At 44.5% G+C, this 15,849-nt stretch overlaps 2 long non-coding RNA genes across 10 annotated transcripts in view, besides 1 other annotated feature; one reads left to right on the top strand and one right to left on the bottom strand.

Moving 5' to 3' along the window:
• Window positions 1–489: 489 nt before the first annotated feature.
• Window positions 490–15,849, bottom strand: part of LOC105372639 (uncharacterized) — a 41,073-nt gene continuing 25,713 nt past the window's right edge. For 2 of the 8 annotated variants that reach the window (XR_007067625.1, XR_007067626.1), the window contains one exon: window positions 6,487–14,704. This is a non-coding gene — a long non-coding RNA (uncharacterized LOC105372639). Of the gene's footprint in view, window positions 3,338–4,011; window positions 4,126–6,486; window positions 14,705–15,849 lie in introns of those variants that run through there. The other 6 variants (XR_007067630.1, XR_936798.3, XR_007067629.1 and 3 more) reach the window with 6 other exon arrangements.
• Window positions 894–9,419, top strand: LOC124904923 (uncharacterized). Of its 2 annotated transcripts, none has more exons than XR_007067632.1 (3): window positions 894–967; window positions 9,075–9,160; window positions 9,245–9,419. It is a non-coding gene; the product is annotated as an uncharacterized LOC124904923 (long non-coding RNA). The 2 variants fall into 2 exon arrangements; XR_007067631.1 differs by lacking the exon at window positions 894–967 and adding an exon at window positions 3,239–3,320.
• Window positions 3,286–3,455: an enhancer, noted in NCBI's record as "experimental_60555 CRE fragment used in MPRA reporter constructs". NCBI's record gives its function as "activates a minimal promoter by MPRAs in K562 erythroleukemia cells, with activity observed for the non-introgressed 20:46692154 variant allele {active_cell/tissue: K562}" and the evidence as "EXISTENCE:reporter gene assay evidence [ECO:0000049][PMID:34662402]".

Raw genomic sequence — 15,849 nt, 5'->3', positions numbered from 1 at the left:
CCATCTCTGTCCCCAACCACAAACACAGGGTACCCCCTGAGCCTCTGCTTCCAGAGCTTGACTTTGCCCACATCCCTCCCTTTCACCCCTCTTCAGTTCCAACTCCTGGGAATGTCCCACGTGCCCCCTTCTGACCCCACCTCACTCTGCTTTCTTCTCCGATGTCCTGATTGGGTTTCCAGCTGCGTCACAGTTCAAGCATCTGAGCTCCCTAAACCATGTGTCTGTCGTCTTGGACATCAGCTTGCGGAGGGCCAGTGAGCACGTGGGTAAGAACCGCCTGCTGAGAGCAGCCCTGCTCCCTTGCCCGCATCAGGAAATACCAAACATGAACCCACCATTTTTTTTCAATCATTAAGTGGCATTGGGTCAAAAGCAATAAAACTCTGACGCAATCCAAGTTTTCATGGGAACGAAACGCAATGGTGACTCGCATGTATGGATGTATTGTGTAAGTGTGTAAGTTTGAAATAAAATGCGAGGTTATTGTTTCAGTCAGATCACACATTTTTATCGGCATTGGAAATGTAGTCTGATACTACTCACATTAAACAGACATGCACACACAAATAATACTTTATATTTTCTGTGGGTAGATCACATTGTCATTATAGCTAACATTTTTGTGTATGATTTAAGTCTCATGACAATGCCATGAGCAAAGCACTGTTTCTGTTTTCATTTAACAAACAAGGAAACTGAAATACAGTCAAATTAAGTGACTTGTCCACAATCAGATGATCAAACAGTGAAGTCAGGTGTGTAGTCGAATTAACCTTTTTCTTCTCAGTGAAGGTGGGGGTGGCCAGTGACATGAAAGAGGAAGTGATAGGTGTCACTTTGGGGTTGATATCTTTAAGAAGCAGTGTTTTGTTGTTGTTGTTGTTTTCTAGGCTTTCCTCCTTTTTCCAGATTCTTGATGGTGGAGGAACTGCTATCACAGGTATATGAGGGTTTACTTCAGCAGGTAATACATTTTATTGCTTTAAGCTTTTGAGACTTGAACTAATACATTAAGACATTAATAAGTTAGGGCATTCTAGATATCTGTGTGTTCTTGATGGCTAATGATTAAGAATTAAAATTTTATTTCACATTTAGAAAATGTGGGCTTTACTGGGCTTGGTGGCGTGCACCTGTAGTCCCAGCTACTCTGGAGGCTGAGGCAGGAGAATGGCATGAACCTGGGAGGTGGAGCGAGATGGCGCCACTGCACTCCAGCCTGGGTGACAGAGCAAGACTCTGTTTCCATAAAAAAAAAAAAAAAAAAAAAAAAAAACACAAAATGTGGGCTTTAAATCTTTTTAAAAAGTTATACAGATGTTTATTATTCTATTTATTGTTCTATTATTTTAACATCTCTGATATTTTTAAGGTAAAATATACAGCCATATCTCCTTAGGTAGAAATACTGAATGTAATTTTTCTTAGTTGTTCTTTTCAAAAATATTTTTTTATTATCAAAGGATTTCTGGAACTTACTCTATGCCAGGAACTATTTTAAATGTTTTACAGATATTAACTTCTTTAAACTTGACACTAACCCTTTGAGTCAGGTTTTATACTTAACTTTCCCATAGTTAGTGAGTAATGAGGCTAGTATTTGACCCCAGGCAGTTTGTTCCAGAAATCTGCCTTTAGCATCTATTCTGTCTTCACTCTTCAGGCCTCAGAGACTTCAAGAGGAGCTTGGCACATAATAGGCCCTCAGTAAATGTGTTGAATGCATGAGTGAATGAATGTATGAATTCCACTTCACAAAGGGCCATCGTTACATTATTTCGTTGGAATACCACCCCAATCCATTGCCATGCGTGTTATTTCTATCCTCGTGTCACAGAAAGGAAACAGAATCTGGCAGAGTGAAAGGCAATGTGACCCAAGAAGGTGGAGAACTACTGTCCCAGGCCTTAAAACCAATAAAAGCAAAGAAAAGGGTATATTTTCCCTTGGAGGGAACGGGTGATCCTGTTCCTTCCTCTGAGATGACACAAACGTGGATGTCTGCATTGAACATGTATTTCCTTGCTCTTTCTTGTTGCTTGAGGAATATTCTATGCTCTCTCTGTGATAATAAGGCATAGAGGAGGCCTGGAACAGCCTGTTCTGGGCCCCTGCCTGCTTTAGGAAAGAGTGGCCCCCTAGCAGGGAGAGTTGTTGCAAAGGTTGCATGAGGTAGCATGCACTGCACAAGCTTAGAACAGAACCTGGAACACAGTAAGTGTGCAAAAAGTTTTTGCTCATGAAAGAATAAATAAAAGAATTCAAATGCAATACAAAAGTTCTTTATACTGTAGGATTAGACTACACCAAAACAAAATTTAGGTATATTTTTCCTCAACTTCCTCGAAATAGACATGATTCTCTCAGAGCAACTCCAGCCCTATTGTTCTGTATAAGTGGTGGAATTCCAGCCACTGGCATCATCAGAAGAGTTTTATTGTGTTTTCTGCAGAGGCTGCTGGATGCAGAGTTCAGTGTGTGGCTTCTAGAGCCAGATACCTGGGTTCGAATCCTGTCTTGGCTACTAACTGTAAAACCTCGGGTAAAATACTTAGCTCAGTTTCCTCATTGTGAAATAAAGATAGTCATGCTATGAGGACTAAAGTAAATATCTGTAAGATATTTGGACTGAAGCTGGAACATCTATCCAAGTTACCATTAACAGAGTTGGCTTTGTATTTTAAAATGCTTTGCAAACTGTCAAGTCTTGGCGGAAGTGTGTTGTTGGTTTTATTCTTATTCCATCCTTGTGAGTTTATGCAGATAGGACAATCATTATCAGCAAAGACAGGTCATGTTTTCCTTGTTGGTTTCCTGGCCTCACATATTTGTGTAATCCAGATTTCTCCAAGAGACATCAAGCCAGACCCTCCCCATTTTCTCCCTGCCTAATAGGAAGTTCAGTCTTTTCATGGGTTCCTAACCCCAGACGACGTCACAGAGCTTCTCTGTGATCCGCCCTCCCCAGGCTCCAGCCTGCCATCCCTGGTGCTATCCCTATCTAGTTTCCCTCATGAAGCAATGACCACAACAGTTCCAACCCCGTTACCTACACAACATGCATGCTTCTTTATGCAGAGTGTCCGTGGGGCTTAGACCTCATTCAAGCTGACGGAGCTATCAGCAGAGACAGGGCCAGTTCCTGGGTCTCCCATCTTCCTAGGGCTGCACTCTACAAAACACAGTCAGCATTCCAAGAAGAGTCCTGACATAATGGGAGAGGCACTGCATGGCCCTCACTCATTCGGCCAGTCATGTATTCACTAATTATTCAACAAATAGTTACGATGCTTGCTGTGTGCCAGGCACTGTTCCAGGTAAGAGGACATTGGCACTGCATTATGTAAAAGGAAAGGAAAAAAAACTGGCTGATTTCTTCTGGAAAATATGTTTGTTCCATACTGCGAAAGCATTAGTGGCTCCAGAATTTTTTACAGGAGGGTCTCAGATGTGGCAATGTTCTGGAAGGAGGAATGATGGGAACATAGAGTACTCATGCATATCTGCTCCTCCCCTCCTTCTGGGAACAGAACACCTCCTGTATTAGTCTGTTCTCACGCTGCTAATAAAGACATACCTGAGACTGGGTAATTTATAAAGGAAAGAGGTTTAATGGACTCACAGTTCCACATGACTGGGGAGGCCTCACAATTGTGGCGGAAGGTGAATGAGGGGCAAAGTCACATCTTACATGGCGGCAGGCAAGAAAGCTTGTGCAGGGGAACTCCCCTTTATAAAACCATCAGATCTCATGAGACATATTCACTACCATGAGAACAGTGTGAGGGAAACTGCCCCGATGACTTAATTCTCTCCACCTGGCCCGCCCTTGACACTTGGGGATTATTACAATTCAAGGTGAGATTTGGGTGGGGACACATCCAAACCATATCACCTCCCCTCCCCTTGAAGTTAGGTGGGGTCATGGGGCATGTTCTAGGCAACTGTTGTGGATGGAAGAAGATGAAGGTTTCACTTCAGAGTGAAGCGTTTCTGGGGCTCCCTTACCTGCACCATGATGGTGCCAGAGCTGTGAGGTGGACACTGCAGGATAGAGGCCACCTGGATGGCTGAGTCCACATGGAGGATGCTGCCCACGAGAGTCATCTGGACCCGCAATTGCTTTTTTGTGAAAAAGAGAAAGAAATGTTGCCGTGATTTCTGCAATTTGGCTGCAATTTGGGGGTTATTTGTTATTAGAGCATTGCCCAGTCTTTCCTGACTGATATGGGATCGGGAGAAAGGTTAGGATACTGGTCTTGAAGCTGAATTTGCAGAGTGTCACACTTTCTAATTGGAATGTAGGTCCCCTATAAGCAGCAGCAAAACAGTTTCCTAGAGATTTTATTACATAACTTTGCTTGTATATTTTTCTTAGTACCCTGCATGGCAGCATATAGAGAGAGCACTGCCTGGGGTTATGAGTGGACTAAAGCTTCTCTTTCCAAGTCATGCCTTGGAAACACTATTAATTAAAATATAATAAATAATAATAGACTCAGTAAACACATTTTTACACTAAGGAAGGCTAAACATTAATTAATAAATAGGACTCAATGTTTAAGGGTTTCTTTTTTCTTTTTCTTTTCTTTTTTTTTTTTTTTTTTGAGACGAAGTCTTGCTCTGTTGCCCAGGCTGGAGTGCAGTGGCATGATCTCGGCTCACTGCAACTTCCACCTCCCAGGTTCAAGCAATTCTCTGCCTCAGCCTCCCAAGTAGCTGGAATTACAGGCACCCGCCACCATGCCCAGCTAATTTTTTTGTATTTTTATTAGAGACGGGGTTTCACCATCTTGCCCAGGCTGGTCTTGAACTTCTGACCTCGTGATCCACCCACCTCGGCCTTGCAAAGTGCTGGGATTACTTTTTTTTTTTTTTTTTTTTGAGGCAGAATCTCACTCTGTCGCCCAGGATGGAGTGCAGTGGCACAATCTCGGCTCACTGCAACCTCCACCTCCCGGGTTCAAGCAATTCTCGCACCTCCGCCTCCTGAGTAGCTAGGATTACAGGTGCCCGCCAACACACTTGGCTAATTTTTTTGTATTTTTAGTAGAGACAGGGCTTCAGCATGTTGGTCAGGCTGGTTTCAAACTCCGGACCTCAAGTGATCCACCCGCCTCCGCCTTCCAAAGTGCTAGGATTACAGGCATGAACCACTGCGCCCGGCGTGTTTAAGAGTTTCTTAAGGGCCAGCTCTCACGGTGACTTAATTAAGAAGCTCAGCTGAGAAGCATCGGGCTATTAAATAGAGGTTGACGGAGCCCTGGTGGATTCAGGGCTGGATAGAGACACGGCCTTTATTAGTCTTCTTCGCTTCTATGAAAGCAAAGCAGGTTTGTGTTCCACTTTGGGACTAATCCATTTGTCACTGTGAAGTCTCTAAGGAGAAGGATGTCCATTTCAAACCTCATTTGCAGCTGCTTTTTAGTCTTAGTGGTTTTGGAATGGAATTCATCTGCTTCGACCCCTTGTACATTTGGTTACCTCTTGCAAATATCTAGTGCCCACAGTGAAATTCCAATATAACATTAACAATTTGTTTTCTCTGATATCAGCTCTGTTTGTCACAGGCTGGAACCCAGGCCCATAAAGAAATGTCACTTTGGGTCTCTTTGTAATAGTTGTATGCAAACAACATCCAAGCCTTCATTCTGTGATAATGATTTCAAGGAGAAGTAAGACTGGCTAAGGAGGAGGGGAATGGAAGGAGGGGAGTAGAAGGAAAAAGGAGGAGGGAAAGAAGGGGGCGGTGGTGAGGAGGTGGAGTCATGGAGAGAAGGGAGGCCTAGGGAAGGAATAGTGCATGGGTGTCCATGAGCAAATGAAAACACACCTCTGCCTCTACAACATGGTGGGGTGGTGGTCGAGACTAGTTGCCCTGAGCAGCTTGACGCATTCTCAGGGACAGACACGATGGTGTGTGAGCAATGCTATGGAGAGGACCCAGTGCTCATTACAAAATACTAGTGATTCCAGTGCCAGTAGGGGATGGAATGCCAGGCCAGTAAGTCAGAGAGCAGAGAAAAGGTTTTTGAATTCAGATCACCTCATTCCCGAGGGGCACACAAACACCATGCAAGGGTATCTGGGTATGGACCGCAAACTCAGTGTGTTCTCATGCCCTGCAGTACTCACCCTGAGAACACTCTTGCTGTTCTTTCCCATCTACCCTTTCATAATCACCCTTTTCCCTTTTAGAAAAAAAAGTACCATCTTCACTTATCTAGAGCCTTTCCAGAATGCTTTGCTTTAGGCATGCAAATCCCCCCACCCCACATTCTACAAGGGGAAAGCTTGTTAAGAGTGGGGTCTGGGACAAGTGTCCTTTAATTAAGACTCCACAACCCCCTCCATCCATCTCCTAAAGACTTTACTTTTAATAAAATATTGCTTCGATGCTTAATAATTATTTATCAAAATTTACTGTGTGTTTGTGTTGTTTTGATCACTTGGGTGTTACAAATAACACCAATGATAACTCAGTTCTGATTAAATTGTAAACATAGTATATTTAAAAGTAAAGCAATTGATAGCATCAAAATAAATTGAAATAAGATAAAATTATCCGGAGGAAGTAGAAGGAGGAAAGGAAATGATACGCATTTCTAACTATTAAGAAAAGCTTGTTAATATATTTTAAAGATCATGCATATTAATCAACTATGATATTTAGCTTCCATTGGATGCATTTGAAAGTGTGTCCAGAATGGGTGTGTTCTTGGTCTTGCTGACTTCAAGAATAGCCGTGGACCCTTAAGATGAGTGTTACAGTTCTAATGGTGGTGCGTCTGGAGCTGTTCATTCCTTCTGGTGGGTTCGTGGTCTCACTGTCCTCATGAGTGAAGCTGCAGACCTTCGCAGTGAGTGTCACAGCTCATAAAGGTGGTGCGTCCAGAGTTGTTCGTCCCTCCCGGTGGGTTTGTGGTCTCGCTGGCCTCAGGAGTAAAGCTGCAGACCTTCGCCATGAGTGTTACAGCTCATTAAGGCACACCCACCCAAAGAGTGAGCAGCAGCAAGCTTTATTGCAAAGAGCGAAAGAACAAAGCTTCCACAGCTCCAAAGGGAACGCCAGCTGGTTGCCACTGCTGGCGCTGGCAGCCTGCTTTTATTCCCTTATCTGACCCCACCCACATCCTGCTGATTGGTTCATTTTACAGAGAGCTGATTGGTCCATTTTACAGAGAGCTGATTGGTCCATTTTACAGAGAGCTTATTGGTCCGTTTACAATCCTTTAGCTAGACACAAAAGTTCTCCAAGTCCCCACTAGATTAGCTAGACACAGAGCACTGATTGGTGCATGTATAAACCTTGAGGTAGACATAGGGTGCTGATTGGTGTATTTACAAACCTTGAGCTAGACACAGAGTGCTGATTGGTGCATTTACAAACCTTGAGCTAGACACAAAGTGCTGATTGGTGCATTTACAATACTCCAGCTAGACATAAACGTTCTCCAACTCCCCACCTGACTCAGGAGCCCAGCTGGCTTCGCCTAGTGGATCCCAAGCCAGGGACGAGGGCAGAGCTGCCCACCAGTCCCGCAGCGGCATGCCCGCACTCCTCAGCCCTAGGTTGATGGGACCCAGCGCCGTGGAGCCGGGGGTGGCCTCCTTCAGAAGCCCATGCCGGGGGGCTGGCTCTTGAGCACAGCGGGCTGCAAGTCCCGAGCCCTGCCCCACGGGGAGGTGGCTGAGGCCCAGCAAGAATTCAAGAGCAGCGTGGGCCAGGCAGCAGTGCTGGGGGACCCGGTGCACCCTCCACAGCTGCTGGCCTGGGTGCTAATCCCTTCACTGCCCAGGGCCTGCGGCTCTGGCTGGCCACTCCTAGTGTAGGGCCCACGGAGCCCGTGACTGATCCCAGAGAAGCCCATGGGAGCCCCAGGGAGAGTTTTCTTTGTGAAGGGCAGGGCACCCTGGAATGGGTTTGCCGAGCCCGCTCCCACCCGGAACTCACGCTTGCCCACAAGCGCCCCACACAGCCCTGGTTCCCACCTGCGCCTCTCCCTCCACACCTCCCCGCAAGCAGAGGGAGCCAACTCCGGCCTTGGCCAGCCCAGAGCGGGGCTCCCACAGTGCAGCGGTGGGCTGAAGGCCTCCTTAAGTGTGGCCAGACTGGACGCTGAGGCCAAGTAGGCATGGAGAGCGAGTGAGGGCTGCTAGCATGTTGTCATCTCTCAAAAGGACGATGCACAGTTTTATTGCAAAGTATCAATATTTACAGTACTCTTGTCATTTACACAACCTTGTCATTTTTGTCCTTTGTATTTTACCCTCTAATTTTTTTCCTTTGCCCTTTACTTCCATGATCAGGAACTGGCTTTCTCATCAGGGCTAATTTTTCACAAAGAATCTGCATTTGAATCAAATCATGAGAAATATACAAAGCAGATGAGAGAGAAGCCCAGGCTTCCCTGGCACCCACATTCTGAGTAGTGGGCCAGCCCTGCTCAGCAGCCAAGTGGAGTGGGTCCACCCACCAGCCCTGCTCCACATTTCTGCATACCATGGAGTATGGTGGTCATGACTACTGCTCACTAAATATTCCCCCGTCCCTCCAAGCACTTTCCCACAATCTTGGAAGGCAGGTGCAGCCATATGACTGACTTTGCCTAGGACATGTGGGATAAAATGGTAGTGTTGCTCTTGGGCAAATATTTTAAAAGCCAATCTTTATGAAGCCATGTTATCTTCCTCCTGCCACAGTGATTGTAGAAGGATGTGCCAAGAGGGAGGTGCTGTGAGGTGGGCCCCAATGTACAGAAGTCTCAGCTGACCCTGTGGTGGCAATGCAGCCTTCTTATTTAAACCACTGATATATTTGGTCTTATTTGTTACTGCAGCACAACCTCACCCACGCTGAGTAGCACCATGAGTCATTTGCAAACAGCTGAAACTTCAAATGTTAACTCTGTGAAATGCAAAGTTATTCCACATTCAGCTCCTCTTTATAACCATTTATTTTTTTTTACAAAACCCACCATGCTTTGTCAAGTCAAATTTTTGTATCTGACTTTTTGGAATAAATTTCTTACATGGACAAATTTGCATTTTCTCTTCTGATTTGACCTCAGGACCTCAGGACCTTTGACCAAGGACCCAGGGATTCACCACTCATCCTGTTGAATTTTGCTACTTCCCATAGGTCTTTGAGCTTGAGGTCAGTAGTGATCACTTCTCGGCTCCTGCCTTCTCTGACTCTTGAGACATTTCTTTAAAATTCCGTTTCCTTCTCTGATCCCAGGTCAGAAGCTCTTGTGCATAAGCAGGCCTGGTGTCCATCAACATTCACTATCAAATAAGAATGTCAGTGTGAAGGCCTTTCCCACAGAAACACCAGGTGCAGCTAAGGGAAGCCGGAGGAAGTGGGTCATTAGCCCAGAAGAGTGAAGGAAACTGATTCGTGAGTCAAAACGACATTACCCACTGTTCCACTAAAGAAGATACAGACTCGAACCCCATTCTGCATTTACCAATCCACTGATGAGTGACCAGCTCTGAAGGCTGATGGGAATCTTTGCCCCTTTAAACCAACCAAGAAGCTCATTTACACATTAAAAAAGAAAAAAATATCCATTTTAGACAATGATTTTCTGGCTTAATAGTGGTAGAATAACTGTGATTCTCACTTTGTAACTCTAAAAAGATATTTTTTCCTCCATGCACGTAAACGTTTCTCCATCTCTCTGGGGTCTTGGCATATCAGGGATCCAACAGTTTTTAAAGTAGAGGAAAACCAGAGCACCCAATCCAGCATCAACGTCCTAATTGAGGTCAGCCCCTCTTGGGTAAATCTTAAGCCGCACATCCTCATGTTCCAATGGTCCTGGTTTTAATGTTTTCTTAATTTCTCCACTATACGCCTAACTGAAACCACCCAAAGCTAATTAGATGCTCTGTCTTAAAGGTACAGAAGGATGCCTGCAAGAGAAAGCTGATAGCTTGATAACTCTTCTTGCAGAACCAGCTGAATCTAGAGACTGAGTAGTAACTGGCCATCTGGTATGATTTCAGGGGTCTATGTACCATTGCCTTCTTCCTGGATTGCTATGTGCCCTCAATCCTACCATTACTGCTCCTTTCAGGCTGAGACACCAAACACCCCTTTTAAAGTAAAAACAGCATATAATTGGAAGATTGTATCAGTCAGCACTCTTGGTTGCATGCAACAACAACAAAACCTAAGTTAAATAGCTTTAAATGAAATAAATTTATAATATCAGATAACTAGAATGTGGAAGGAGTAGCTTGTTAGTTTCAGGCACAGCCAGATCCAGAGGCTCAAATGTCAGCAGTTCCTGATGAGTGTCTCTTGATCCCTCTGCTCCTCTTTTTCCCTCTCAGGGCGGTTCTTAGCATCTCCTGCTGTGGCTGCAAGGCTGACTAAGCCTGGTAGAAAAGAGCCTCTGGCACTCCCAGAAGCCACAACAAAAGTCTCATTGCATCTCGTTGGACTTAAGTGTCACATACTCATCCCTGGACCAGTCAGAGCTGTGGAAAAAAAGAGCCTGATGGTTTTAGTCCACCTGACACAGAGGGTTGGTCCAGCCATTGGAGGGTGGTTACCCAGGGGAAACTGGAATTCAGTTACCCAAAGATGGTACAATAGATTCTGGGTAGCCAAAAATAAATATACTACAAAGTTCGTATTCTTTAAAGAGATTTATAAACAAGAATGAGATGCACAGAAGCAAAGTTTCACTATCCCTGTCTAAAGATGAAACCACTAACTTACTACCTGGGTTGACATCTCAGATTAGGTACCTGTGACCTTGGAAAGAGAAGTCCTATTAGGGTTGGGACACAAACCAGGAACGTTTGAACTGAGGAAAGGAATTCAAAGCTCCTAAGATGGAGAACTGGCCAAGTGAGGCACAAGAGAATGGAGGCAACCAGCAGAATGAAGGGAGGTTCTGGATGGATCCTCAATATAAAGAAGAACATAACAACAATGAGGGCAGCCATGGATGATGGGCTTGCTATGTGCCAGGCACTATGCTAATCACTGTCTGCATATTAACACATTCACATTTCACAGCAATTTTAATGTTTATGAAAGTCATTTCCATTTTACAGTAAGACAACTGAGACATGGAGGGCTTGATAAAGTTAGTGGTGGTGATGCTGAGACTTGAACTCAGGCAGTCTGTTCCAAAGTTCACATGCTCAGACAAGTTATGGAAGAATCGCCCAGAACCAGAGCACCAGAACGGTGATGCTGGCAGTAGATGCTGAAGCTCCTTAGAGCAACTGTCTCTTCATGAGTAATGGGGAAACTGGGGCCTCTATAACTGGGCACTGTTCTACCCCAGGATATTAGTTAGGACCCCTTCCTTCGGTAGCCAGCAACAGAAAATGCAGACCAGACTTGTTTCAGTAAGAAGGGAATTTGTTTTCTCCCAAAACAAAATAACAAAATATCTAAGTATTGTACTGGTTTCAGGGACAGTAGATTCTGGACTCAATTCAACTTGACTCAGTTTCCCTGATGCCTTGACTCTACCCTCAGCTGTGTTAGCTTCATTCTGCAGCTCTAGTAGCAAGTTATGGCACAGCCTCATCATCCAAGTTTCAATCCTGCAGAAAAGGGCCACAAGTTTCCAGGGAAGTCCGGAGACTCATTCTGATTGGGTCACCATTAGGTCATGTGCTCACTCACCCCTGATAAATTGCTGTTGCCAGAGCACACCACGTGGTGATTAGCTTAGCTCTAGAAAAGCTACATACTGATTGGCTTAGCTCTGGAAAAGCTGCATGCTGATTAGCTTAGCTCTGGAAAAGCTACATGCTGATTGGGCTTACCTCTGGAAAAGCTACATGCTGATTGGTTTAGCTCTGGAAAAACTACATGCTGACTGGTTTAGCTCTGGGTCTTGGGCTAGAGTTCTGACTGCAGCTCATATAGATTGAAATATAGAGGGGAGATTTTTCAAATGAAAATGGTGAAGATGGGAGTTTTGTTTCTAAAATAAAGTGATAAAGGTGCAAGGACTAAAGAACAGCTCTTCGTAATACCCAGTCTCCTATGTGAGAAAAGTTTATTGTTTTCTTAGCTTATATTGCAGCGAATTCAAATGCATGTAACCCACAATGACCTCTTCCAGGCTGTTATCTTGTAAAGTGACCCATATCCTTTCATCTATTTCCATACTCACCTACATGTGTTTGGAAAATGGATTCGAAGCCGGGCGCAGTGGCTCACACCTGTAATCCCAGCACGTTGGGAGGCAGAGGCGGGCAGATCACCTGAGCTCAGGAGTTTGAGACCAGCCTGGCCAACATGGCAAAACCCCGTCTCTACCAAAAAAATACAAAAATTAGCAGGGGCAGGGGAAGAACTGCTTTATCTTAAAGTCAATCATTGATGACACCTCCTATCACTGAGTATTGATTGGGTTAGGGTGGGTCTAACAGATAAACGACTCTTAAGAATTCAAGTTTAGCAAGTCGTTTATAACCAGAAGCTCCTGCGTTACTTACAGAAAACAGATAACAAGCCTGCGGCAGAGGCAGAAGATCAAGTACCAAGAAGGAGGGAAAGATTTATGTGGCCCTAAGTCAACAAGAAAAACCACAGTGAGAATCGAAGTGTCAGCGTCTGCAAAGAAGATTCCCTCAGAGCTGTTCTTTCTGCTTCCAGATGAATGGAAGTGAGAAAAGTATATCTATTAAAATGCGTGTGGCTGTCAGCAACCAAAGACTTGATTAACAGACTTGAAGAATCATATAGATTGTCCCCTATAACAGAGGGGATGAAGAATGCAGCTCAACCATATCTGTCTCTCTGCTCTGCCTTCCTTAGCAGATTGACTTGTTCTTAAGCATGGCTCCTCATGCTCACAGAAAGGCTGCTTCGGTTCCAGCATGTTGTTCTCAACCAATTATTTTCAAAGGCAGGAAGGAGAGTTTCTTCTTGTGCCTCCGTTGCATTACGAAACAAAATTTTTCCTTGAACTCTTCCCACCTCAGAATATTGACTCTCTCGTTGCATTGGTCAGGTTTGGGTCCCATGGCTGCTTCTGGATGCAAAGGAGGCTGAGCAAGAAGCATTTGGTATATTTGGGCTCTAGAGGAAGAGAAGCAAGCACCATGCAAGACAGAGATAGGGGGCTGGGGCTGTAGCGGGCCACATTGGGGGTGACCCTTAGCTCCCGCCTCGTAAAGACAGCTAAAGCCTTCTGTCCAGTTTTATTTTGTTTTTTTCTCCTGGGGGCTACTTGGCCATTTGGACAGGATTGTGTGTCATACATTACCATCCCTGAACCCTTACACTAAATTCTAGAAATGACACCCACCATGAGTTATTGTGACAATGCAAAACTCTAGATGTTTTTAAATTAGCAGAACTGTCCCCCGTCTACATCAAAGATTCTTAAAATATGTGAATTTTGTTCAGGCCGGTGTGGTGGCTCACACCTGCAATCTTAGCACTTTGGGAAGCTGAGGTGGGAGGATTGCTTAACTCCAGGAGTTGGAGACCAGCCTGGGCAACATAGTGAGACTGTCTTTACAAGAAATCAAAAAATTAGCCAGACATGGTGGCGTGTACCTGTGGTCCCAGCTACTCAGGAGACTGAGGTGGGAGGATCACCTGAGCCCTGGAGGTTGAGGGTGCAGTGAGCTGTGATCGCTCCACTGCACTCCGGCCTGAGTGACAGAGAGAGAGCAGGAGAGAGAGAGAGAGAGAGGCTCCTGGATTGAGGGGAGGGTTTCAGGGGGTGTAATATATTTAATGTATCACATGGAGCACCCACCCCCAGTTTCAACCAGAGCAACTGGGTTTCTAGCCAGTTTTACAAATTGAGATTTTATAAAAGGTTCTCTTTGCAGAAAATATTAATATTTGGAAATAGTTGAAAATGACTATTTGAGTCTCAGCTGGAGTTGGGTGAATTCAAACTGTCTTTTTCAGGAGAACAATCAGTCAACATGGTTATTTTACCCAGCAAATATGTCAGACTAAATTTTTGATAGTTGATAGAATAAATTGTGGCTAGTTGACAGATTGCATTTTCTTCTGTTTCTTACTTTCAGGGGGCATCTGTTTTTCAGATTCAGCTTTTATTCTCACCAGAAATGGATCTTAGAAACCCTTTTGTGTGCTGGCCTTAGAGTCATGGAAAACGCTCCAGGCAAAGTAATCCTGGCTGGTGGCCAGATTGTTTCTTTTTGTTTGGGTGTTTAACAAATTTTTTCTTCTAATTCACGCATCTATGGTGTGTTAAGGAAAATGGGATAATTTAGGTTGTGTTTTTTTCTTCTTCTTCCTTTAGAATGGAAAAATAAAACTTGGCTAGAGTTGACTGTCTCCTAATCCCCAATAGGAACCTGACATTTTTATGTTGCTTTTTCACCCTCTCCAACCTGGCCTGAGGTGCAGGTGGGGAGCTGCTGGTAGAGTGTTACCATAATCCCACCCAGCATGACAGAGACCTGCCTGAGGGCTTCAGGGGAGACTGAAGAGTCCCAAACACATCTCTTGTCTAGGGTGATGAAAAGCTGATCTGGGCTTGGTACCAAATATTACTTATCAGATTCCAAGTGGCATTGTCTTCATGGAACCTGGTCCTGCCGGAGTGCTTGTTGAGGGTGGGCTCCATCCAGAGAGCAGGAGGGGCATCTGGGCACCGGGCAAGGTGGATTCAGGACCCCCGGTGCAGGTCCTAGCTGTGACCACTGTTTGGTTCTGGCAAAGACCAGGGCACTATGGAGATGGGGAAACAGAAAAGAAAATGATTCATCTGGCTGGGAGCCCAGAAAATGTATGCTAATGCCTTTGTAAGGCAAAAATAAGATTATAAAGAGACATTGCAGAAAACAAAAAAAGCCCAACCTCAATCCATTAACATGGAAACTAATAATGTGCTGAGATTCAAAGAGTCAGAGAGAGAACCATGACATGAGTCAAGTTGTTTTTGAAGTCAATTCTTGCCTGTCCACATCCCATTCTCCTTCTTGGTAGACATTGCTAGAACTCACAAATAACCCTAGCCTCCTACTTCTTCCAGGCCCACAGGACACATACCCTCCTCTAACCCCTTAAAGTCATGAATAGGCATGTGACCTCTCTCAGCCATTGAAATCTGAGAGAAAGCAACAGGTGCTATTTCCTTATGATTACAATTTTATCATTCAGGATACAGATCAGGACCAGCCAAATGAAGAGACTTACAGCACAAGGTCTCAGAGGGTCTACAACATGAAGCTTCTGTGCCCTCTCCATGGAACCAGGGCACTCACCTGCCTGGCACATCCAACCAGGAAGTTCCACTGAGCTGCTAACAGGTGCTAGTTCTAAGGAGAAGCATTTAAGAACTGCAGTGTGATTGGCTATGCTGTTTTTATGCTGTGGTAGTCTTGGGAGCATGCATTGAGACGGTACAGCCTCCAGCAGACTGGATCACGGAATGACTATGATGAAGGGAGCCCTCCACAAAGAACCCACATTGGATATAAAGTGTAAGTGGGTTTTAAAACATTTGTTGTGTTTGGCCCTAGAGATTTGGGTCTTATTTGTTACTGCAACCTAACCTTGTCCATCCTGATTGATATGCTCAACATCTTCCACCACAATATCCCATATCTGGACACATTAGAGGCTCATGACTTCTTCTAAACCTACATCCCAAAGATTATCAGTTCTCAACTTCCTCCAGGCAAAAGAAACAGAATTGTTAGATGAGATAGCTGTTGACTTCAGCACATCAGGAATTGCTGCTCCAATACTGAATCTGATGAAAAAGAAAGGAGAATTTAAAAGTGCAGACATTGGAGAAAAACGCTTTAATGGTTATGTCAAAGGAGATTCAACTCAGAAACAGAAATAAAGTTGATCCTTAAACAACACAG

The sequence above is a fragment of the Homo sapiens genome, chromosome 20 (genome assembly GCF_000001405.40).
Source record: "Homo sapiens chromosome 20, GRCh38.p14 Primary Assembly".
Taxonomy (NCBI): domain Eukaryota; kingdom Metazoa; phylum Chordata; class Mammalia; order Primates; family Hominidae; genus Homo; species Homo sapiens.
This window is presented reverse-complemented; position numbering and strand designations above follow the sequence as displayed.